Raw genomic sequence first — 26,212 nt, 5'->3', positions numbered from 1 at the left:
CCCTCCACCAGATAATTTTGATGTGGAACATTCAAGTGCTCATTTTTGAAGCTTATCCCTCGTCCTCTGGCAGAAGCCTGAGTTACAGACATTAGTTAAAACGGGTACTGCCTCATTGAAGTAAGGAATTTTTTTTTTTTTTAAGCATCAAAGTCAGCTCTAATATCAGCAGGACTCCTAGATTTTCCTGGTTCAAAGCTCCTCTCCAGATGAAAATAAAAGAGACCAGGGAGCCTGAAATGATGCTTTCCTCAAAGCCCTGATCCCATCATTGACTTCTGCAGAAAAGAGAACTGGCAGTGGCAACTATTCAGGAGGTCTAAACACAGGTGCACATGTTGCCGAGACTGGTAATTATGACTTGTCAGGAAGCTTGAGGGGAACGTGTTGGTCAAAAGGCAAAAACAAAGGTCGCATACTGACCCAGAACTAGCAGACTAAAAGACTGCCCATGTAACCATCATGTTAAAGAAGGGCTCCAGGGCTGATGCCACAGCTACCCAGGATATCTCATTTGTATAACGTGCAGGATCACTAAACACTTCAGAAAACACCATAAAGGGGGAAAAGCAAGAATGTTTGTGTAAGGAAAACATTCCCTATTGAATCTGTTAATAGTTAAATGCTTTTGAGAGAGAAAGAAGCCAACAAGAAACTAACAGAGGGTTTCTTTTATTTAGACTTTCAAAAGACCTTGACAAGATCTCATACCAAATTTAGTCATCACAGATTCAGTAGGCGGCTTTATCATGTAAAAGGAACTGGCTCACAAGACAGAAACACCATGCAGGCAAATAACACATATCCCAGCGATGGAGGCTGAGATCATAAAAGGTTGGGGAGGGACAACACAGTGAAGTTGATAAATCCAGAGATGACATTTACCTCCTTTCAGTAAAGGAATTACCAAATTGATGAGGAAAAAAAAAAACACTAAAAAATGTGGAAGTTTGCATGACAGCAAAAAAAAAACAAGAAGAATAGTAAATGAGTTTTCTTTTATAAAATAAATTTAAATTTAACATATATAATGCAAATATATGTAAATTAATTATTTTCAAGTTATCTGTCATAAACCAAGAAAAAGGCCTGTATGATGTAGGGAAAGGAGGCATTACAGTAATTGCAGTTGTCGGCTGCTATGCAGAGGGAGCACAAAGACTGACATGACATTGTAGAAGACAGAGTAGTCAAATGAAATGATTAGAAACCACCTTTTGTTAGCTTCTTCATGCCTGGTACTATGTAATGGGCTTTCTTTATAATATGCCTGATTCTCACAGCAACCCTATGAATTAGGCATCATTATCTCCATTTAGATGTAGAGACTGAGGATCATGGAAATTGAGTACATCAACCAAAGTCAATATGGCACATAAGTGATTAAGCCAGGATTTTAATCTAGTGATGTCTTCTTCCATAGCTTGTACAGTCTCAGAAAGACAGTAGGAAGTGCAGGAGGGAAAATAAGTGGAAAGATAGAAATAGGTGGATAGATAGAAGACAGACAGACAGATAGACAGACTTCCCTACATCTATGTCTACTCATCTCCTCATAAGGTTCCCACACCCAGATATACACTCACTTTACTTCTTGCACCTCAGAAAGAGAAAAGGCACTAGGTAATCCCCTGAAACAGCACGCTTATGGAGAGTTCCATGGTGGGAGGGAGAATACTCAGAGAAAATATGACTTAAGCCTGTCAAGTAATAAAGGATAAAAGTAAAAATGCTTTCAGTGTTTTTCTGCACCTACTATGTATCAGGTCTGTACCAGAAATTTGTACATGTTATTTCTATGGAATCATCCATCATCAAGCCTCTTTTGTTACCCTCTGTTGAATCAGTGAGGAGTCTGAGACTTTGGAAGAGTTTATTACCTTGCCCCTTCCCCACATCAAGCATTCAGAAAACAACAAAGCAGAAATATAAACTATAAACAACAAAGCAGAAATATAAACTATGGAGACTCCTTTTACTTCACTAAGGACTAAGGCTAAAAAAAAAAAATGAATGTATAGTGTGTTATTCCTAAAAGGAATCACTGGATAAAAGTGGGTTCCAGAATAATTTATATAAATTCATAGACCAGAAGCCTATGAAGAGTTATTAAATGAGGTTAAGAAATCCAGGCATATTCATAATCTTCTAAGTTTAACTTCTTACCAGATCAGGGAAATGATAAAATTTTATCCTAAACTACTATAGGACAATGATAAAATTCTGCTGTGACCTCTCATTTGGTGATTTTGTAAACTATAATACTAGATCAGTAAGCTCAGGTCTACTCTGGAAGACAATTCTTACAGAAATGGAACCATTCAGCCAGAGGTGTGAGAACCAGGCTCTAGTCCAGTTCTCCTGCTAAAAGACCATGGTGAGATCCAAGTCTGATTAGTGACATCTCTGGACCTCACATGAAGGCCTAGAATGTTTGACCTTTAAGCTCCATTCCAGTTCAGCATTCTATGGAATCCTCAAAACCTGAAAGGGGCTGACTGGTCTAGCTCTCACATCTCCCATCCCACATCCACCCTTTAGGGGTGCTTCCATTGACTCTTGAAATGGCCGATTAAAAACATCATGATTGCAGATAATTTTAATTATTCTATACAGCAAAAAATCAAATCTCAGATCTGCATCTCCAGCCCAGCAAGGCTCTCAGCCACATCCAGATGTCCTGGGCCACCAGCCAGCCATGACTCTGTGGGTGCTCCATGGAGTCTTACCCAATTAAAAAAGTGAATCTGCCGGAACAATAACAATAGCAGCAATGAATGTCAAAGCTAAGGAGAAATTATTTTTAGATTTGCTATCTTAGATTATCTGCATTGCTGCTCACATCCACATGTCCTCAAGAAAAATGTCAACAAAGGGAAATCTGAGGACAGAAATGCCTAGAGACCGTGGGTGATTTCTCTTCTGCAGAAGGTGGGGTATATGAAAAGAAGGGTAAGATGTGTCTCATGAGGGAAGGATGTTTTGGAAAAGGTATAAATAAGGACGACTATATAGTGGATAAGACTATGGACTATTGGGGGCTAGATTGCTTGGGTATAAATCTGGCTATACTGTTAATTAGCTAGATGATGTTTCATTTCCTTAGGCCTCAATTTCCTCATCTATAACATGGGTATGGAGAGAGTCCACTAACCTTATTGCACTGTCACTAAGAATAAGTTAAATTAAATTTGCAAAGTCCTCGTGAGCATTGCCTGGCAGTCTCTTAAATGTTAGCTGTTATAGCTGATGTTATTCATCACTCGGAAGAGTAAGAACATCTGCTTTCTCCCTGGGGGAGGAAGGTGGCTTAGGCAGGCCTTGTGGTGTTTTCTTCTCTCTCTGTAACTTCTCCTCCTAGGGTAGAGTTGGATTTGAATCACTGAAGCTTTGAAAGTATCTGTTCTCCCTCCCTCTCCCAGAGAAAAGACTGAAACATACATTCCTAGAATTTGTGACAATACCTCCTAAAAACTCTAAGAGCAGAAACACGCCTTAGTCTCTTTTCCATTTAATTAGCCCCTTTGACTTGCTTTAGAGCACTTTTTTTAAATTTTATTGTGTAATTGACAAATAATTACACATTTTTATGGGGAACTTAGTGATGTTTTGATACATATAATGTATAGTGATATTGTATATCCATCATCTCAAGCATGTATCATTTATTTGTGTTGCGAACATTCAATATCCTCCTTCCAACTATTTGAAACTATATAAAATTGTTAATCACAGTCATCCTCCAATGCTGTAGAACATAAGAAATTCTATTTAGCTGTAATTTTGTATCCTTTAACAAAGGATCTGTTCCTAGCCCCCTTCCCCCTACCTCCCAACCCCTACTATCCTCTGTTCTGCTTTTTACTTCTTCTGAGTTCAACTTGTTTTAACTTCCACACAAATGTTTTTAAAACACGATGTACCTTGAGCTGCTAGGTATTGGTGCCATCAATGGGATTTGCTTGTCATTTACATTTCTGTGTGGTATGAACCTGGAGGAAGAACTGGAATATTTCTGTTTTTTTTTTTTTCTTCTGCATTCCCTTGTGCTCATCACGCTTCTCTAAGGAGATGAAGAGGAAGAAGTAGAGAACAGAGCAGAGGCGGAGAGAAGAGAGTTGTCCTGGCACTTCAGGAATCCTCCAAGAAAGCCAGGCATCTCTCTCATGTTCATAGCAAACAATAATTGGCGAAGAGGAGGCACTCAACACAGGTTTGTTACATTTGCTCAACAGCATGAAGGGTGGCCAAAAACTGAAAAGTGAATGATCTAAAACAGATGGGAAATGAATCCACCTCCCTCAGACCTACCCAAAACCCAACCCTACTCTTCCATTAGAAGACTGAAAACATCCATTTGAAAGTGCTGCCCTCAGATAGGATGAGGAAGAGCACAGAGTGACACGGAGAAATAAAAACCCTTAGAATTCTCCTCTCAAAAAGAGGTATTTTGCAGGGCATGGTGGCTCACACCTGTAATCCCAGCACTTTAGGAGTCCAAGGCAGATGGATTGTTGAGCTCAGTAGTTTGAGATCAGCCTGGGCAACAGGGTGAAACCCCATCATGTTAGCTGGGCATGGTGGTGTGTGCCTGTAGTCCCAGCTACTCAGGATACTGGAGTGGGAGGATTTCTTTAGCTGGGGGGTTCGAAGCTGCAGTGAGCCATCATGGTGCCATTGCACTCCAGACTGGGCAGCAGTCTGAGACCTTGTCTCAAAAAAAAAAAAAAAAAAAAAAGTATTAGCAAAAGCCCAACTCTTTGCATTCCTTCCAGTTCTTTCATCTGATTTTCCTGTTGCCCTTTGACCCAGGTTTATTGCTCTTTTACTCTAGGATATAACAACTATGAAGAAATTCCACTTCCAACATTGATTAACAGTGATTTTAAGAGCAAATAGTTGAGCTTACATTTAAAATTAAAAATTAATAAAAGAGAGAGCTCATTAATATCGATTGGAAAAATTAAACCTCCTCCTCCAGCTTGCATGACCTCAAATCTCTTTCCACCTCCTGGTTCTTCCATCCCAAAGGATTATGAGAAATGCAGCTGACCTGCACACTGTCACTGTTTTCCAAATGTTACTTGCAAATGAGTCACCGTATAATGCTTAGAACGAAACTGTGTTCTGATGGCAAATTTGGAATGTACTGCTAACTAAAAGTCAAGTTAGAACAAATACACGTCCCTTTTCTCACGTTGACAAAGCATTAATAAAAATGTTAGGGACATATTGTTCCTGATGCACCCAGGGAAGCCCTCCCACAAAGCATGTTCTGCTGCTTTAGTGCCTGCCCCAGAGCCTGGCACAGATCTGGGTGTCTACTTAAAACTAAACAAATGTGGATTATCTTGACCTGAGTGACCTTTTTTCAGGACCTGGGTCATAGAAAGTTTTGGATTCAGCCTCAGAATGCAGATTCCGTTCCTAACTTCCTGTGAGCAATACGTCCTTCAACAATCCCCTTTCCCTCCAACCTGAACTTTATTTTCCTCCTTAAAATTAGGAAGTTACATGAGATGATCCCTAAGGCCCTCACCTGCATTGTGTTTTTGTGATTCTGTGATACATCACAGAAGGCAACTTAGAAATGACAGAACAGGGCAGGCAGGAGAAGACAGAAGCGGGAACTAAAGACATTTCCTGCCATGGTGGTCTCAAGACTGCAGCAGACACTATACTCACAGCCCTATAGGACCCACAAAATAATAACTGGACTATAGAGGCACATGAGCTAAAACCCAGGCTTCTTTTGAAAGAGCACGTTGAGAGGGCAGCTATAGGAATTCTTGTCCAGGAGGCAGCAAAAACTGCACTCTTTTTCTGAACAAGTCAGTAAGACTTCCTTGTGAGGAGGACTGGGGGTGGTGGGCTGGGAATGGACCCATGAACTGTTGCGACCTCTCTGCAGCCACCATTCCTGGTCCAGCCTCTACCTTCCACCCGACTCCTCCTCCACGCGCAGGGCCAGAGCATGCGTACCCGACAAGCTCTGCCCTCCTGTGCCTCTCTTCTACAGGTGCCTGTGGGCGGGCTCGTGCATGGACAGTCCCAGCAATGCCACCGTGCCCTGTGGCTTTCTCCTTCAAGGCTTCTCCGAATTCCCGCACCTGAGACCCGTGCTCTTCCTTTTGCTGCTGGGGGTGCACCTGGCCACCCTGGGCGGGAACCTGCTCATCCTGGTGGCCGTGGCCTCGATGCCAAGCCGGCAGCCCATGCTGCTCTTCCTGTGCCAGCTGTCAGCCATCGAGCTGTGCTACACGCTGGTGGTGGTGCCCCGCTCCCTGGTCGACCTGAGCACGCCGGGGCCACCGCAGGGGCAGCCCTATCTCCTTCCTGAGCTGCGCCTTTCAGATGCAGATGTTTGTGGCTCTGGGCGGGGCCGAGTGCTTCCTGCTGGCCGCCATGGCCTATGACCGCTACGTGGCCATCTGCCACCCGTTGCGCTACGCGGCCGTGGTGACCCCCGGGCTGTGCGCGCGACTGGCTCTGGCCTGCTGCCTCAGGGGACTGGCGGTGTCCGTGGGGCTCACGGTGGCCATCTTCCACCTGCCTTTCTGCGGCTCCCGCCTGCTGCTGCACTTCTTCTGCGACATCACGGCGCTGCTGCACCTGGCCTGCACGCGGAGCTACGCCGACGAGCTGCCTCTGCTGGGCGCCTGCCTGGTGCTGCTGCTGCTGCCCTCGGTGCTCATCCTGGCCTCCTATGGCGCCATCGCCGCCGCCCTGCGCCGCCTGCGCTGCCCCAAAGGCCGGGGCAAGGCCGCCTCCACCTGCGCCTTGCACCTGGCAGTCACCTTCCTGCACTACGGCTGCGCCACCTTCATGTACGTGCGGCCCAGGGCCAGCTACTCCCCGCGCCTGGACCGCACCCTGGCGCTGGTCTACACCAACGTCACGCCGCTGCTGTGCCCACTCATCTACAGCCTGCGCAACCGCGAGATCACCGCCGCCCTGAGCAGGGTGCTGGGGCGCCGGCGGCCAGGCCAAGCTCCAGGCGGGGATCTGCGCGAGCTCTGATGGCAGGCCCGTACCAGGCAGAGGGGGCCGCTCCGCTCCGTAGAGTTTTCCCCATCATGAGGGGTCTGCATGGGGAAAGCCAACAAGGGGACTCAAGGACTGCATCCAGGAAAGAGAAAGCCTCCCAGAGGTTGCCCCATCCTCCACTCTTCCCTTGAATAGCTGGGATCACAGCTATTCGGGAGGCTGAGGCACGAGAATCCCTTGAACCCAAGAGACAGAGGTTGCAGTGAGCCGAGATTGTGCCACTGCACACTCCAGCCTGGGCAACAAGAGTGAAACTTCCCCTCCCTCCAAAAAAGAGAGTAGCATTACACAAAGCATTTTAATCCCCCAGTAGCTTGAAGGAAACCTTACTGTCATTGATAAAGTAAAGAGACATTAAGAGGAAGAATAATAATCCGCACTGTCTTGTAAAAATTAATGAGCAAATAAATTCACTTGACATAACTGTTTCTAAACAATGTTACACTAACATATGCGAGTATGTCAAAGAGCACAAATTGGCACAAAACTTAAGTACAAATGTAAGTTATACTAGGAAAATTCCAGAATTTATTTATTCATCCATATTTGCAATAAATACTTGTTGATTGAATTCCATGCCAAGAACTAGACAGTTAAGAATTCAACAGTGATCAAGATGCCACTGTATTCCTAGCACCTATGCAAATTATTGGTAGTGATGAGGTGGGTGGGAGAGATGCTGTGTGTGTTGCAAATATTAAGAGGTTGTGCTAGAGGAACAAATAGAAACCAGGTCTTGCAAGCCTTGTAAGGGATGACAGATAGGTTTCTGTCCTGGAAAAGATGATATATTGGGCTCACTGAGATGGAGAGCACAAGGAAAGCAACCAGTGTGAGGGAAGGACAAGGTGGAGTTGATGAGTTCACTGTTGATTATGTTGACAAGGGGTAGCACACTCAGCAGTCTATGTGATGTGCGTCAGGAGAATCTGGGTAGAGAAATGCCGATGTTAGAGACTGGCATGGCTGATAGAATTCACCAGCATGTTAGAGATTGGCATGGCTGGTAGAAGTCACCAGCATGTTAAAAACTGGCATAGCTGGTAGAAGTCACCAGCATATCTGAGATTTGCATGGCCGAGATCTCCCAGAATGAGCAAGTGCAGTTAGAAGAGCAGCTTCAAGATAAGACAAGGAGCATTAACATTAAAAAAATGAACTGACTTTCTAAGCATAACACAAAACATGAAATTTATTATGTAAAAAATAACCCAAAGCTTTCTCCATGGGATGCCGCTTTAAGCAAACCAAAAAGAGAAAAGAGAAACTTGGAAATTCACATGTAATGAATGAAAGAGGCTCATTTCATTAATACATATAGAGCTCTTAACGATTAATAAGAAAAAGATAACTCCAAAAAATGGGCAAAGTTATGAATAGACTGTTTGTAGAAAAGGAAATGTAAATAGCCCTTACACAGCGGAAAGGTTTCAATCTCATTCATAAGAGAAAGCAAAATAAAATTATAAAGTTGTCAAATTAACAACACTGAAAGATGACTAACACAGAGCAGGAAGGTGAAACAGGCTCTCTTGTATGTTATTAATGAGAGTATAAATGTATACAATTTCTATACAGGGAAAGTGGATGATATTAATTAAAATAAATGGCATGTATTATTTGTTTCAATGTACTTCCAGGGTTTGACCCTACAAATTTATTTGCTTTGTGGGAAAATATGAATGTTCAAAAATATTCATGTCAGCGTTACTTGGATTATCAAAAATCTAGTAATTTCTTAAATATCAATCAATATGTGACCAATTAAATGCATTTTGGTTTATCCCTGTGATGGAATTCTATGCAGCTGCTGAGAAGAATGAAACAGTTTTATCTATGGCAGGTGTGGAACCAGGTCTCATAAAAGTTGTTAAATGAAAAAAGCAAAGCATGTGATTATGTGTATTAAGGAGTCATCCCTCATTCTACTCTTGTCTTCTGGCACATCTCACATTTTCCCTTGTTATTTCCACTCCTGGAATGCTCTTCCCATAGATCTTCCCAATCTGGCTTTTTGTCATTCAGATGCTGTCTCAACTCAAATATTGACTCCTCAAAGAGGCCTTCGTTGAACACCCCATGTAATGTTGCCTCTCCACCCCCTCTCACATTATCATGCTTTAATGTCTAATCATCTGTCATTACTGGAAATCATCTTACTTGCATTTCTACTGCTAATTGCCCATTCCTTCCAACATAAACTCTGTGAAAGGCCATCTGCTTCACTCACCATGGTATTCCCAGTTCCTATCAGTGTCTGGCATGGAATAGAGTCTTAAAAAATTGTTGAATGAATGAGTAAATAAATCAAGGTTTATGGTATGCTAGCATTTATGAGCAAAAATATTTAATTGTAGCTGGGTGCAGTGGCTCATGCCTGTAATCCCAGCACTTTGGGAGGCCACGGCAGGCCAATCACCTGAGGTCGGGAGTTCAAGACCAGCCTCACCAACATGGAGAAACCCCATCTCTACTAAAAATACAAAATTAGTCAGGTGTGGTGACACATGCCTGTAATCCTAGCTACTTGGGAGGCTGAGGCACGATAATCGCTTGAACCCAGGAGGTGGAGGTTGCGGTGAGCAGAGATTGCACCGTTGCACTCCAGCCTGGGCAACAAGAGCGAAACTCCATCTCAAACAAATATATATATATATATATACACACATACATACACACACATATATATACACATATATATACACACACATATATACACATATATATATATACACACACTTATATAATTGTATGTGCATGTATGTGTCTGTATATTTCCTATGTGTTCTCTACGTGTGCATGTATACACGCAGATAAAGACACACATATTTCTGCCAAAGTAAAAGTTTGGAGACTGGGGAATAGAGGTGGGATAAACCTACGTTTTTCATCGAATACCTTCCTTACATACATGTATGTGTCAGTTATTCAATAAATGCTTTTCAAATAAAAATACAGGATAGGCAGAGGAAGGGGAATACCCAACGGAGTTTTTTTTAAAAGAGCAATCAGAGAAGTAGAAGAAAATCAAACATATTGTGGTGTCATGGAAACCAAGAAAGGGAATTTCAAGGATGGAGTAATCAACAGTGCCAAAATGATACTGCGATTTCTAGAATAGTATGACTGGAGCCAAAGATGGCTTTTAAGATGCCTACTCCAACCCAGAAAGTACTGAATTCACCTGTACAAACCTCAGCGGTGCATGTGCAAAGGTCTACTGACCAAACAACAAAACACACATACAGAAATGCTGTCTAGCCAGAGATCATATAATGACTGCCACACTCCATCCAGGGTTAAAAGAACACAGAGAAGCCATTCAAATCTGTGTAATCAACTGCTGGAATGGGAAATAACATTGTCTTTCATTTTAAATGCTGAAATATTTAACACTGTTTCAAGATTTGTACCCAGATTTGTTTTAATCAGGTAGGGTAAAGTGACAGACACAGAAACAGCTGCCTTTGAAAGAACAGTTTATTACTCACAGTTCCTAAGAGGGGGAGGCAAGCTGTGTCATGCAGGGCCACGTGGAGAGGCATACTGTCTCTTTCTGTCAGGAGACAGAAAAAGAAAGGGAAGACCATGCCCGAGAGACTTGATTGTGGTTTCTATGGGAAGAAATGAGTGAGTGGAGTAGAAAACTTAAGGAAGTCTAAGATAGGATAGTTTGAATAATTTCAGCAGGCTCTGGATGACATGCGTGGTATCTAGTAGTCCAAGACCTCACCCTGGGGTGATTAGGGTGGGGAAAATGTTGACTTGGCATGTGAGAGTTAGATAAAGGAGGTGACTGAGTATATGAGCTCTGGATTGGTTGGTTTGCATCTTAATGACATTCTCACAGGGGACACATTTGCCCCTTCTTCTAAATTCCCACTTGTCCAGTTATCCCAAAGCCTGGGAAAGTATTCATTTACCAGGAACTGCAAACTCTTGGTGATCTAGCCACTTCCCTTCAGCTGAAAGTTGCCACTTCATAGGGACAGAATCTATGCAGTTAAAACAATGGGAACTTTCCCTTCTTAAAGATGTTTGCATACCTAGGAACTAGTTAGCACTGACAGGAGCAGTCTCTCCCAGCCAACAAGGCCTCCAAGATGTTGAAGCATCATAAAACATAGAAAATAAAAAACATAATCAATACACACAGTCCCAAAATGATATGTAAGACAGTGTGCATGGAATAAATTTTTTCTGTAACCCTTCAACTGGACCATCATTAATTCGAGCTGTCTTTCTATAACAAATCCCATCATGGGTCTGAAAACAATGCCTCACCAAATCCTCTCTTCACCACAGCCTCTTACTTCCCAGCTCTCATTTATTTGCTCTGAGACCATCCCTTGTCACCTTCATCAACAGCTTCAATCCTTTGGCCCAGATGTTCTCTCCACCTGTGTGCCACCTAAATGAAGCTCCTTCACTTTCTTTCAAAATCAAGATCTCTCAGACTAATGTTTAATTATTTGAGCCAACACTCTCAACTCCATTGTCTGTGTTCTACACACCCAATTTACAAACCTCAATCCGATTTTCTGACATCTCTAATACAAATCTGTGAGTGCTCAATACTTCTGAAGACAAATCTCATTACTCTATAACAGGGCCACTATAATTCTGTAGGATCCAAACTCAGACGGGCCTCATCCTCTGCTGCCCTGCTATACTGCTATATCAGTGGGCTCCTTCCTTGGCTGCATACTGGAATCACCCAAAGACCTTTAAAACTACTGAAGTCTGAGCCTGACACCAGAGATTCTGATTTGCTTAGTGTATTATTCCATTTTCATACTGCTATAAAGAGCTGCCCAAGACTGGGTAATTTGCAAAAAAAAAAAAAAAAAAAAAGAGGTTTATTTGACTCACAGTCCAGCGTGGGTGGAGAGGCCTCAGGAAATGTGCAATCATGGTGGAAGGTGAAGGGGAAGCAGCAGGCATCTTCTTCATAAGGTGGCAGGAAGAAGTGCCAAGAGAAGAGGAAAGAGCCCCTTATAAAACCATCAGATCTTGGGAGAACACACTCACTATCACGAGAACAGCATGGGGGAAACCACCCCCATGGTTCAATTATCTCCATCTGGTCCCTCCCTTGGAGAGATTATGCGGATTTGGGGGATTACAATTCAAGATGAGATTTGGGTGGGGACACAAAGCCTAATTATATCACTTGGTCTTGGTGTAAGTCAGGCATTGGGGTTTTCAACAACTCCCTTTAGGTGATTCTAAGGTGTAGTCAAGGTTGACAGTCACCGCCCTCTAATCATTACTCCAGTCCTTCACAGTGGAAGAGGCTACCCTGCTTCTGCTTAAATTTAACCCTCCTTGAGTTCCAGATCTCATCTTCACCTACCTCCTCAGAGAGCTCATACATTATTTACCACTACTATCTCCCATGCTTAGAACCCAGGTATATGAACATCTTTAAGGTAGGAAAGTTCCAATTATTCTAATTGCACAGGTTCTTTTTCTTGACATAGCAACTTTCAACTGAGGGGAAGTGGCTAGATCACCGAGTTTGCAGTTCCCAGTCAATGAATACTTCCTACAGAAGGTGGGTAACTGGACAAGTGGACAGTTAAAAGGGGGCTGTAGGGAGGGAACTAGAACACCACTATCCAGAAGGAAAAAAGAAAAGGTGAAGTAAATGTGGAAAAATACTTATTAAAATTTAATGAAATTTCTCTGCATATAAGACCATTTCCCACATCTAAGCTGAGGCTCACTTAGAGAAGTAATATTTGTGTAGCCCTTTGGGGGGCAACATTTCTCCAAGATATTTGAGTTGTAGGTAACAGCTAAGCCTTTATATTAAGCCTATTAATGACTTAAGTCTTTGCCTGGAGCTTCTGAAGTACCAGTCCCACATAGTGGAGATTAAGATTTTCTATGATCCTCCTGACAATGGACAAATGTACCTCCTTCATCTTACAATGGGAGGGGAGGCCTCCTAACCACACAATCTCCCTTAATCCAGCAGTTGGATCCCTCAGCTGCTCCTGGTGGCCATCTTCCCTGCAGTGTCTGCCTCCTCCCCTGGCTGTGCCTGATTGATGGGTCTTACTGACTCACCATGGAGGTCCATGTTATCTCCAGCCTTCAGCTGCTCCCGAAAGCAGTTGCTGCCTTCTGGGAAACAATCATGAAAGTGAATTTAATCCATCTTGTCTCATTATCATTAAAGCACACATCACAAAGGGAAAAGTAAAGTGCCTCACCTGAACGTTGCTGGAGCACAGCACCTGTAGAGGCAGGGCTGGGCCTCGGAGAGAAAAGTGGCAGTGCCGTAGCACAGGGGCATTGAGCCAGGCTACCTGGATCTGGATTCTGACCCCTGAAGTTCCTGACTGTGACCTTGGACAAGTTCCTCTAACCTCTCTGGGCCTCTGAGTCTTCAGTGGATAAGCTGGAGTTGACATTAGCACCTGCCTCACAGGGTTGTGATAATCACAGCTAATATAGGAAATATGCTTAGAACAGTGCCTGGCACTGTTAGCTACTATTAGTAGGGCATTATTAATAGCAGATGTTTTCCGGTAGGCAGAATCAGTGCAGAAGTCCCAGAGCTGTTCTAAGCAAAGAAAATCACTAGCTTTATACTGCAGGCCCCATACCTTGAAAGGACACACCTTGGAAGAAAAATGGGTATATATTTGGTAGGGCCTGGGCAAGGGGCTTGCTGGTTGGAACAGCAGGAAAAGAAGAAACCAGGTTTCCAGTCTACCTTTTCCACCTCTGCTTGTGTGGGTTCTGGGAGGGTTTCTCTCCAAGACCTCGTATCTTTGCTACTGTTGTTGTCCCTGGACAAATTGGGGATCCCGAGGTGGCTGTGATTTTGTTTTGCTGAACTGCCCTCTGGCTCTCTTTCCTGTACATTGGGAAATTCTGAGATGGGAAGACTAGTAAAGTACTTGGAAAGGCTAAGAACTGGCTTAGAAGTAAAGTTGAAGTTAACAGGGTCAATGAGAATTTTGGTGGCTTTTTTAAAACTTACATCCCTTCAGAGTTATTTAAACAGAAAAAATCATTTATTAGGGAAAGACCCACAGAATCTGTAGGAGGACAATAGAGTTGGGCAAAGATGAAGCCAGGAACCAAGGCACAGCATATAGAGGGACTGCTCTAGTGAAGACGCCACAGTTCCGCTGCTAGTGACCAACAATATATGATGTTGGGGAGTCAGATACCAGACCCTCAGCCCTGAGAAGCTCAGTGCTCCATCACATCCTTCTCTCCATAAGATGCCTGCCTCAACACATGACCCTGTCCAGGAGCAGAATCATGCATAGGCATCTAAGTGAGGAAGCCTGAGTTACTGGGAAGGAGTCAGCTGTAATGGGGAAAGGGATTTCAGGACATCAAAGATGTCTGGGTGATTTTTAGGAAGGCTTGCAATGTGGTGTGGGAGGAGCCCTCCCTCTCTCACCCCTCAACCTCCACATCAAAATCAATTACCCGTCATTGCACTGGGACTTATGGCCCATGACGGATGCAATTATATCCTGGCCACAAGGCTAGGGAAGGAAGTCTAAGGAGGTTCAGTCATAATGTGATTATGTTCACAAAATATAGGCCTATTTTCAGCTTTACCTAATGCCACTATTAAACTTGAAAGTCATTGGACTTTGGCAAAATATTTTGCTGCATGAGTAGTTGAAATTAAAAGCTTCAGCAAAAGAAATTTACTCCCAAATTATTTAAACCATTTTACCCAGAATATTCCTAGAAAACTATGTTATCAAAGAGTACAACATGATATCGTTCATTGTATTTTCCTATAAGGACAATATGATAGAAGGTTGGTTTTCTGACTAAAACTTACCATTAAATTAATCCTCTATATGGCCAAAAATACACCAAAATAAAAGTATTATCAATCTTTGAAATAAAGTAGTGAAATAAGTCTAATTCTTTAATAAAATCTGTATAAGCAGTACTATTCTTAATGCAAGTGTCCCAATCATAAAAAGCACATATAGATCCTAAAAAATTTAACTTGGTATTATAAACTTAACTATTTTTATAATAGGTTAGATTTACTAATCTTTTATAAAGTCTAGATTGTTTTTCGTAGAGAGAACTTTAGAATAAATGTTTAGACAGCCTAGATACCTTAAAATTGTTTGTTAAAGATGTTTGAAATAGATATTTTCTTTTCTTTTTTTTTTTAGATGGAGTCTCACTCTGTCAACCAGGCTCGGGTACAGTGGTGTGATCTCAGCTCACTGCAAACTCTGCCTCTTGGGTTCAAGTGATCCTCCTGCCTCAGGCTCCCAATCAGCTAGGACTACAGGTGTGTGCCACCACACCTGGCTAATGTTTGTACTTTTAGTAGAGAGGGGATTTCACCACGTTGGCCAGGCTGGTCTCAAACTCCTGACCTCAGGTGATACACCCGCCTCAGCCTCCCAAAGTGCTGGGATTACAGGTGTGAGCCACCACACCCACACTTCTTCTTCTTTAAACATTTCTTTGATAAGCAGAAACCTTCAAAATCATTCTACTGATCTTAATGCTACCTCAAACTAGCAGAGCAGAATTTTAAATCTATGTTTCATGGTGGCTATATTAATAATGATTATAGTGCTTCTCCCACCACAACTCAAAAAACTAAAAAACTCTAAAATCTAACCAGTGTCATATATAAAGCTTAGAGTCAGACCTCTGTCTCCATTTAGGAAATACTTGACATTGAGCCAGGCTTGTGTGGCCTAACCCAGCCCCAATTCTCTCCTTCCTCAAATGAAATAATATCTATGAAATTTCTTGAAATTAAGCACTGTACAAACATAAATTATTTTTATTTGTGGAAAAAGAAGTGGAACATTCTCCTAGCAAGATGAGAGCTGGAGAGTCATCTTTATTAAGGGAGCTGGGAGAATTTCACTGGATTCCTTTTCATTTGACTTAGAGGTAGATGGAGAGAGGAAGGAGGTCTGTAAGGCAGTTTCTCAGTCAGCACCCCTCACTTTCCTTCTCCATCTTCAAGACAGCTGCTGTATATTCACTATCAACAGGAACAAAGACAAGATGAAAAAGGGCTCCTGTGCCTCTGAACAGCTTCTGGACCTCAATTTACTCTTGGATAATCATTTCTGGCCCCTACACTCACTACCCTCTTTTGACCTCCCTCTGGCTCCAGTGTGCCCATGTCCACCCTACCTGGCCAGAAGATGGCTTCCTGAACTGGACTCTATCGTCACCTTTGTAGAGGGCTTAACCCAGTAGCCCTCTACAGGCTACAGTCAGCTTCCAGGATGTGAGGGAGCACTGAAACTTTCTGCATTTATTGCAAAGCTTGAGGAATAGTTTCAATTAACAGAGCTTCTAAAAAGGTGCTTCCAAAATATCTCTCACAACCTACCAAGGATGGCATAAAACACTTCAGGTTTGAGGCAGAGAACTGTTGGAACAGTTTGTATTTTGCGAAGGAGAAAAATATGAAAATGTTCAGTTTACAAGGCACAGCAGGATAGAAGTAAATGTGTGAGGAAATAAAAATTAATCTCTGTTTCTAGCATTGGCTTGACTGGCACCTTTCTTCTAAACTCTTCAAAGCATTTCAACATAAAAATATCTACTATTCACTGAGGGCTTATCATGGACTGGACACTGTGCTAAGTGCTCTGCATGGATCGTCTCATTTGATCTTCACAAAAGCCCGTGAGTCAGGTATTACCATCCTCCCCATTTTACATCAGAAGAAACTGAGGCAGTAGAGACTTTAACTTGCCCATTGCTGCAAAGGCACAAGGTAGGAACAAAGATTCAGACTTGCACATTCAGGGTCTAGAACCTACACCTTTAGCCACCAGGCTATGCAGCCTCCAGAGGGGTCTTGGTGGGCTAAGTAGATGAAACAACCTCCGCTACACAGAGTGCATGTGATACTGAAAAAGATTTGAAAATCTTGCGAAAATATCACAGCCACGATGGAATTCCCAGGTCCCAGACCACAAGATCTCAAATCTATTGTAGAAACTAAGGGGAACTGGTTTACTGAACAAGCTGAATTCACAAACTGTAATCAGAAAAGTGCTGTGTTCTTTCTCATCTCCATACACTCAAACCTGCACTATGGGGCTAGTCCTTCTCTGTGCCTTGGACTAAATCCATAACAAGTAGCATGAATGTTCTAGTTCCTCCCAAAAAATCAAAACGTTTTCATTCGCCTTAAGTCCCCAAAACATTCTCACTGCAGTCTTAAAAATATCCAGCCCAAGGTAAAATCAAACCTCTAAACCTTGTTTTAAGATAAAGCTTCTTCTGACTCCCAACCCCAAAAGCTTAAAGTGGGGAATGTTGGCTTCTTCTCTCTTCTCTAACCTTCCTAGCTTCCTCACCTCCCTCCCCTGCCTGGCCCCCACTAGACTGCTTCTGACTCCTCATGGGTTAGAGCAGGGGACAGAGACAGGTAAGAAGCAGAAATGTTCTTGTTGATGTGCAGTGGGGGAAGCACTTGGAGAGCAAGAAGGAGATCAGACTCAAGAAGACAAGAGAAAGTATAGAGAACAAAGCTGGAGGATCTTTAATCATGAATTAACCCCAGGGCAACCTGGGATGGGAGTAAGAAAAGAGATTAGAATCTGTGTTAGTTTCCCATTGCTGCTGTAACAAATTGCCACATATTTGTGGCTTAAAACAACGTAAATGTATTCTCTCACAGTTCTGGAAGTCGGAAGTTCAAAATCAATTTTACTGGGCTAGGGTCAAGGCATTGGCTGGGCTTGTTCCTTCTGGCAGCTTCAGAGGAAAACTCATTTCCTTGCCTTTTTTCAGCTTTTAGTGGCTGCTGGCATTCCTGGGCTTGTGACCTCTTCCTCAGGTCATTCTAACTTCTTGCTTCTACCTTCACATCTCTTGGCCTTTGGCGTGGGCTGCCAGTCATCCTGTTCCATTCAGCTCTTCATGGATACAGCCGACTGGGGCTGTGGATGTATGTGGGCAGGGGAGGGAATGAAGAAATGCAGCCAGGATAGGGCACACCGCAGCACCAAGCAGCTACAACATAATCAGATTGTGAGCATTAAACAGAAGGCATGTGGAGTAGTTTTCTAAAGCAGCCTGTTCGATTCTTTGTAAAAGGCCCTTCACGGTTTCCCCAGCTTGATATGGGCTTGGCCCTAAAGAGAAGACGGAGGCAGAAAGATCTGATGCTGGTGTTCCTGCCTCTCTCTCTAAAGACCCTTGTGATTATATTGGGCAAACCTGGCTAACCCAGGATAATCTCCTCATCTCAAAATACTTAATCACCCCTGCAAAAATCCCTTTTGCCATAGAAGATAACAGTCATAGACTTGGGAGATTAGGACAGAAGGTGGACACATGTGCAGGGCCATTATTCAGCCTATAACCAGGTCCAAACTGTTAGGGAAAAATTGAGGCAAATGCTTAGGCCTGGAGGGGAGCCAGAAGGCTCTAGAAATAAAAACGAGTCAGCTTCCTTAACTCAAGGCCAGGAAGCAAACTCTATCTAAAGAGCAGGAAACACCCAGCCAGAACTCTTTTCTCTGCTCCTTTTGAGTATTAAGACACGTCATTTTGCTTAATTCAGTCATGGAAAAGATCTTGACAGCAGAAAGACACTGCTTCTGCTTTTGCAAACCTCTGTGTGGAATTCCACAATGCCAGAGCATAAAGAGACCTTTGCCTTCTTCCATTGCAACCACTTTTTTTTTTTTTTTTTTTGAGATGGAGTCTCACTCTGTCTCCCAGGCTGGAGTGCAGTGGCATGATCTCAGGTCGCTGCAACCTCCACCTCCCGGCTTCAAGTGATTCTCCTGCCTCAGCCTCCCAAGTAGCTGGGACTACAGCAGGTTCGTACCTCCATACCCAGCTAATTTTTTGTATTTTTAATAGAGACGGGGTTTCACCATGTTAGCCAGGATGGTCTCCATCTCCTGACCTCGTGATCTGCCTACCTTGGCCTCCCAAAGTGCTGGGATTACAGGCGTGAGCCACTGCACCTGGCCGTTTGCAACCAGTTTCTTTTAGAAAGGAATGTGAGAGGCAGCATGGTCTAGTGAAAAATGCCCAATATTTGAAATTTGACATCGGGTATATCCCAATTTTCATCTTGGCTGGCTCTTTACCAGTTGTCTACCTCTGGCCCAGTCTGTGTCCACCTTGTAGAACTGTTCTGAATGTGACAGAATAACATTTTCTTTTCCTCACTCCTGAGACATGACACAGATTCTGTCCCATCTTTACAGCCGAGCCCGTATCAGGCTGGGGAAACTGAGAAGGGCCTTTCAAAAAGAATCAAATAGGCTGCTTTAGAAAAATATTCCACATCGGCCAGGTGCGGTGGCTCAAGCCTGTAATCCTAGCACTTTGGGAGGCCAAGGTGGGCCGATCACCTGAGGTCAGGAGTTCAAGACCAGCATGGCCAACATGATGAAACCCCATCTCTACCAAATATACACAAATTATCCAGGCATGGTGGCGGGTGCCTGTAGTCCCAACTACTTGGAGGCTGAGGCAGGAAAATCACTTGAACCCAGGAGGTGGAGGCTGCAGTGAGCCAATATTGTATCACTGCATTCCAGCCTGGTTGACAGAGTAAGACTCTATCTCAAAAAAATAAAATAAAATAAAATAAAATAAAATAAAATAAAATAAGAAAAAGAAAAGGAAAATATTCCATGTGCCTTGGGTTTAGTGCTCAGAATCTGATTACCTTGTAGCTGCTTGGTGCTGCGGTGTGCCCTGTCCTGGCTGCGTTTCAGCAGGACGAGCTGAATAATGAAGAGAAGAGATGCCCAATTCTCTGTCCAAGATGGACACCATATGGAGAATTGCAGGCACAAGGATAACACTTAGAGAAAAACAGATCAATCTATATTTTCTTTATTAATTCCAAATTTCTGAAGCCCTGAGGCACCTACATCAAAACCCACAACCTTTGGATTTGAACACTGAGATTTTGATAAACTAGGGAACTCAGGATATGACATAAGGGAAATCTTCCATTTCATGAGAGGGCAAAACCTTCTCTTTCTGACACAGACTTGGGAATAAATAAAGGAAGAGAAAGGTAGAAGAAGCAGACATTCAAATATATGTGTTCTAAACAGCCCTCCAAGGGACTGAGGCCCTGAGGATGAAGAGATAGGATAAGAAGAGGCCAAAGGTGGAAATACTTTCCTGATCCCCATTTAGAGCCCTACCAAGAGACTGTTGTTCAGGGTGACCTAGAAACTCCAAAGATGTTGAGGGACGATAGAAAAGCAGCAGTGAAAGAGGATGGCAGGCAAGCCAATCTGAGCATGCTCCTGGCTCCCTAGAATATGGAATTCATGCCTCAAGTTCCTGTTTGTCTCGAATGGGAGGTGCAGATACAGGAAGCAGCTGGGAGCTCAACCAAAGAACATGCCAGAGGGGATCAGCTTGGTGGAGAAAATGTGGCCATATCACTGAGAGCTACAGAATGGACTTCCCAACTCAGGGCTCCAGAAGAAATCAGTCATGTCTGGGAGGTGATGTGTGTGTGTTTGGGGGAATCACAGCATTGGAAAACCAGAAGTGGGACCATTTCAACAAGAAGATGGCCACCAAGCCTTGACAAAGCCAAGACAACAAACAGTCCATGGGTTCCTTGGCCACAGCCTCCAACAGTGGATGACACAGGTTGGATCCACATAAACTATGTCTCAACAGAAACCTGCCACGTGAATAAGCAAAGATTCGAGTGGTTGTCCAGCTGCAGAAGCCAGCACCAGGACCAGCACAAAACAAGAGTGATTCTACATATCCATTCAAAGCCCCACAAGTCAGTACTATCAGGTTTTGTCTTATGCCCAGAAGCCCTGTTGATAAGGAAGAAAAAGAAATATACCACTCTGATATAAGGTAGAACTTCAAATTAATTAAATATTTACCTGGAAAGATCATTTTAAGTTAACAGAGACCATTTATACTGTAAAAAAACTAAGATACCTTTAATTGGTATATTATATTGTTTGCTTTTTGTCTTCTTTCTACAGTACCCAACAGAATGGAGACTCAAGAAAATAATATCATTATAGAAAACAAAATAGCTACGTCTTCAGGGAACATCAGTAAAGAGTATTCAAATTCATTATCCTAGCATATAGACAAGTTGATCTTGAAGTAAAAATTGTCCTGGACTTCATGTTTGCACTTGTAATTTATTAAGGAAAGACTTCTTTTCTAGAAATGGAATGCATAATGCCCGTTCAATGTTAATACATAATAAGGAAATTATGTAAAGTTTCAATTAGATGATTCTTATAAAGCTTTTAGTATTCATTGAATTTTAGTTACTCATCCTCATTAAGTGTTTTCCCCTAAGTCATTTATGAGAAAAGACCAAAGCATAGAAATGCCACTTTAAATTTTTCCTACATGTAGAGATAGGAAACAGAACAGTATTCTAACTCAGTCATGCCAGAGCTAATTCATGATGAGTTGTATCCGAGGCTGTTGAAGCTGCTGTCAAGCATAGCAGTCATCAGTTCCGGTAAAATGCTTCCCAGAAGGTACCTTTTACATTCACTGGGAAAGATGAGGAAACGTTAATTCTGGTAAAAATGGAATGGAAAGAACTGAATGGAAAGGTTAGTAACTGAGAACCAGAAATAGTAGTTCCCTGGGAGTGAACTAAATTATTGCTAGTAACAGGAAACTCTTGAGGCAAGGAGATACTGGGGTGGGGAAGGAGAGAGTAGGAAAGTGGTTAGTGGTGGGGCAGTTCCAAAGGAGTGAAAGAGGGGAAAGACCCAGGTGAGCAGCATGCCTGGGCCCACACAGATATCACAGGAAATCAATTATGTCCAAGGCTGTGGGTCTTTCATTGCCTTCTTTAGTGAAACTCCTGGTATTGGTCAATCTCAAAGGAAATGATTCTTCCCCTCTCAAGTCCAGTTTGGAACTCATGATGGAATGACTTTAGTCTCAGACCTCAGAATCTAGTACCTAGAATGAAAGGAAAATGTTGTAATGCACACACTGAAAAACACAGACTTCTGCAGGACCTTGAGGTCCAATTCCACCATTTGGTTTCACAAACAAAGAAACTAAGACCCAGGGAGATTAGGTGACTTGTCAAAAGTCATAGAGCAATTTGTACCAAAGCCGGAGTAAAACCCATTGTCCTGCCTCTAGTCCAGGGTGTTTGCCACCATAGAATATTTCCAGATTTATTTTTTATGGTATAAATAGTCGAAAACCTATAGTTATATCTACTTTGCTGAGATACAGTTTTAATTGTATCTTTCCTTGAATGCTCACTTATGTTGCCCAAAGGCTATTCAGTAGTGCCAGGCATTAAGACAGCAAATTCATTTCCTAATATCACTATCTCAATGCGATACGTCTATATCAGATATGTGAATTTTTTAAATTTCATTTGGATTCCTATGAGAGAAAAAATATGTGTTTATTATAAACATTTAAAAATATTTGTAACAGTTTGTTCTCTCATTGTTATAAAGAACTACCTGAGACTGGGTAATTTATTAAGAAAAGAGGTTTAATTGACTCACAGTTCCACAGACTGTTCAGGAAGCATGGAGAGGAGGCCTCAGGAAACTTATAATCATGGTGGAAGGCGAAGTGGAAGCAGGCACATCTTACACGGCCAGAGCAGGAGGAAGAGAGACAGCGGGGAGGTGCCACACACTTTCAAATAACCAGATCTTGTGAGAACTTAACTCACTATTGGAAAACAACAAGAGGGAAATCTGCTCCCATGATCCAATCACCTCCCACCAGGCCCCTCCTCCAACACTGGGGATTACAGTTTGACATGAGATTTGGGCAGGGACACAAATTCAAGCCATATCAATATTGATAAGCTAAAAATAAGAAAACAAAAATATCTATAATCCTATCACCCAGAGATTAACCCACTGACATTTTATGGTCATCTTGCCTGTTCTTTTTCTACTTTTCAATCTTTATATACATCCAACTGTATATATATTATATTTCCTACTATTTTCTAACCTACTTTGTAAAAAAAAAAATCTAGTTACATATTTTCTGTAACCTTAGTGCTTGGAAAAGTAAGAAGGATGCATTTTTCTTTTTTACCAGCAGGGAAACATTCTTATTAGATGAGAGTAGGAGGTAGTGTGGAGGATGGTTCCCAACAGTTCTTTTCCTTTACACTGGAGTCATCTGTGTCAGCTCATACCGAGTCTGCCTTTGAAGTGCATCAGGGGTCCCACCTCTCAGATGTCATTTTCTTCTTCTTCCCCCTCATGGTGCCCTTGGTTTTCTTTTTACTGCTGCTCTCCTCCTTAACCTTTGGCTACAACTCTCAGTCAGAAGTTCTAGCAGTTTTCTCCATCCACAGACCTTGAGGTGGGGAAAGCTTCAGGCCCTGTGAGGTCCTGAGCTTACCTGGGCAGTGGAAGCAGCAAAGATAAACCCAAGATTCTTCAGGTCTTGCCCAAAGGGGAAGAGCATGAAGTTAAACAACAGTTCCCTAGTCCATTGTCATTACAATGACAAATCTTCCAGGTAAGTAAACCTTTATCTTGCAATATTGGCCAATTGTTATAAAAAAAATTTAGTGGGTTACACACTGATGTCTCTCTTTTTTCTCCCCATTTTACCAAAGACTCATGTTCTATTACTATAGAAATAAATAGTTAAATATTGGGAATAAAACCTCATCCTGACCCATTGTTTCCTCTGCTCCTTCTAGTAATTCCAGTGAAGAAATTAAAACTTTGTGGAAGATGGCCAAGAACCGGGAGATCAGTATTAGGAAAGCTGATAAAGAAAAAACTTCTAGTAATATGAAAATATGCAAAGGAAACACAACAGGAATGTGATGTGGGAGACCATCAAAGAACCTGCAGAACTATTTTAATGACTGTGAACTTGAGACTTCTCAATGGCTCCCAGGCCATGGATGTGATGATTCTAATGTGCGATGTGTCCTCACCACTCTAAAACTAGATGTCACTGTCACTAAAACTAGGTGTGTGGGAGGAGGGGTGAAGGTGCTTTCATTTTCTTCCTTTAGGAAGGAGACCAGGTTCTAAAATTTTAGTTTCTCTTTCCTATCTCAATTACTTTCAGTCCCTTCTCACCAGGTCAGAAAAGTAAATGTTTCTGAATCCCAACTTCTACTAAAAGTCCTCAGTGATGCCACAGCATTGAAGGGCAGTAAAAGATATAAAAGAGTTACAGAAGGGCTCATTATGCTAGGAACTAGAAGGACAATTAAAAGTTGAAATAAAATGTTTTTAGAATATGTATTCCACAGGGAACTTAGTAGAGGAGGGAGCTGTGGTTGCAGAGAAGTAGCTGTGGGGAAGAATGAGTAAGAAACACACCAAGAGCAAGTAATTTCCCTCTGGGGATGCCTAAATTCTGAAAAGTTATCAGCTAATACTGACAAAGTAAAGCCTGCATCACGAAGAAGAGGATGAACAACTGTATCAAGGACTTTCTAAGAGATGTACATCTCCACATTCAAAATGTCCTGTGCATGAAGTGAGCACTCAGCCTTGGTGAGTCACCCACAAGGAAGGCTAAGAGGAGGTGGTAGGAGGATAAAGCCCAAATTCCTGGGAGCACCCGGGACTGTTTTGTGATCCTCCACTGTTTTTCTCACTGGTTGTAGTTGGAGGCTCTTTGAATTCCTCCCGTGACCTAGATGATATAAATCAGTGTTTTCAAGCCACTTGATAGAGTCCTAGTTCTTGTCAGTCACCAAATCAACAGCATAAACTGAAGTGCTCAGTATATGTAGATATACATTTTAAAAACTAAAGAATGGAAGTCAAAAGGGAGATGACTCTTTTCTTGGCCTTGAGGCATTTCTATTCTGTTGGAGATAAGAAGGAATGGAGAAGGGCTTGGATTGGTATAAGAACCAAAGATAGACATAGACCTTCATCTTTTCTTGATAAAGAAGATGGTGAGAAGTGTCTGTTCATATCCTTCGCCCACTTTTTGATGGGGTTGTTTGTTTTTTTCTTGTAAATTTGTTTGAGTTCATTATAGATTCTGGATATTAGCCCTTTGTCAGATGAGTAGATTGCAAAAACTTTCTCCCATTCTGTACGTTGCCTGTTCACTCTGATGGTAGTTTCTTTTGCAGTGCTTAGGAAGGAGGCTTACGTATCAGAAGGCTACCAGCCTTTCAGCCTTGGCCCAAGTAGTTTTGCCATTTCTACTGGTGTAGTCCTCTTCCCCGTTTCCTTAGTCTCTGGTTTTGAGTCAATTAGTCCCGTTCATTGACACCTCCCCAATCAGCTATGTGTGAGATCTGAATCCTTTGAACCCAAAACCCACTAATTCATATCTCATTGCCTACAGTCCCACTAGCTATGCATGCTTAGAGCAATCAAACACCAAAGGATCTATTTTTCCCTTCTATACTACTTTAAACCACAGATTATGTATATTCACTTATCACAAATCTTTAGAGCTGGAAGAAATCTTAATGTACCTAATCTAACTTGCTCATTCTGTAGATGAAGAAACTGTGGCTTTAAAATGTAGCAATGTACCCAATGGATACGTAGATGGTTTCCTGATACAGCTTGAAGCCCAGGCCTCCTTATATGAATCTTAGCATACCTTAAACCTCATCTACTTTTTTAAGAGGCAAGAGCACTATTTCTTGTTTTTGTTTTGTTTTGTTTTTTGTTTCTACTTTATTATTTCTACAGATCTGCTGAGCTGATTACATAGCCAGACTCTATGTCTCCTCTTACCAGATGTCTTCATCAAGCTTCCTCTGAAAACTCCCCTGATAAGGTCATGATGACTCACTCTTTCTATTCTCCCTGCAGGCTGAGTTCCTAAGCAGGAGACCAGACTGATTGATTTGTTATCCCAATACCTTCCACTGGACCAGGCGCTGAACAGTGCTCAGTACATGTTTACCAAGGTGAGAAAAGTGGAATAAAATTCTCTGTCCCAAAAAGCTAAGAACGAGGCCATCTATCAATAAAAATAGTTTTTCATCATCTAAAAACATCACCAAAATGTATTGGAATAAAATAGTACTAAGTTCACACTGTGTGCAGAGCATGTACTACCTACTCACTGAGTACAGGTGAACCCTCTACTTTGATTCTTCACTATATTTAACAGGGTCTCTGTAATTAGGTGGTTTAAGCAATATAATGCATTTCAAGGGGCTTTATGACCCACATTCTGAAAACTTTCTGAC

The 26,212-nt window shown here is 42.3% G+C and overlaps 2 long non-coding RNA genes and 1 pseudogene across 3 annotated transcripts in view, besides 2 other annotated features; 1 reads left to right on the top strand and 2 right to left on the bottom strand.

The window, feature by feature from the left end:
• EPHA1-AS1 (EPHA1 antisense RNA 1) overlaps nt 1-26,212 on the bottom strand; it is a 115,637-nt gene that overhangs the window by 5,497 nt on the left and 83,928 nt on the right. The window contains exon 3 of the long non-coding RNA NR_033897.1: nt 13,123-13,179. This is a non-coding gene — a long non-coding RNA (EPHA1 antisense RNA 1). The remainder of the gene's footprint in view (nt 1-13,122; nt 13,180-26,212) is intronic.
• Nucleotides 5,942-7,086, top strand: OR10AC1 (olfactory receptor family 10 subfamily AC member 1 (gene/pseudogene); annotated as a pseudogene). Its single transcript, NR_145518.1, has one exon. The product of NR_145518.1 is annotated as an olfactory receptor family 10 subfamily AC member 1 (gene/pseudogene), transcript variant 1, non-coding (transcript).
• Nucleotides 13,039-13,499: a silencer, noted in NCBI's record as "fragment chr7:143201547-143202007 (GRCh37/hg19 assembly coordinates)". NCBI's record gives its function as "represses an EF-1alpha promoter that drives an FKBP-Casp9 reporter gene in an ReSE screen in K562 erythroleukemia cells {active_cell/tissue: K562}" and the evidence as "EXISTENCE:reporter gene assay evidence [ECO:0000049][PMID:32094911]".
• Nucleotides 21,181-24,976, bottom strand: LOC105375547 (uncharacterized). Its single transcript, XR_928075.3, has 2 exons — nt 22,557-24,976; nt 21,181-21,987 (listed from the first exon to the last, which is right to left on the bottom strand). It is a non-coding gene; the product is annotated as an uncharacterized LOC105375547 (long non-coding RNA).
• Nucleotides 25,683-25,977: a silencer, noted in NCBI's record as "tiled region #6558; HepG2 Repressive non-DNase unmatched - State 24:Quies". NCBI's record gives its function as "represses a minimal TATA promoter and a strong SV40 promoter by Sharpr-MPRA in HepG2 cells {active_cell/tissue: HepG2}" and the evidence as "EXISTENCE:reporter gene assay evidence [ECO:0000049][PMID:27701403]".

Source organism: Homo sapiens, chromosome 7 (assembly GCF_000001405.40).
Source record: "Homo sapiens chromosome 7, GRCh38.p14 Primary Assembly".
Classification (NCBI taxonomy): domain Eukaryota; kingdom Metazoa; phylum Chordata; class Mammalia; order Primates; family Hominidae; genus Homo; species Homo sapiens.
The sequence above is the reverse complement of the archived record's forward strand: the minus strand, read 5'-3'. Positions and strand labels throughout refer to the sequence as shown.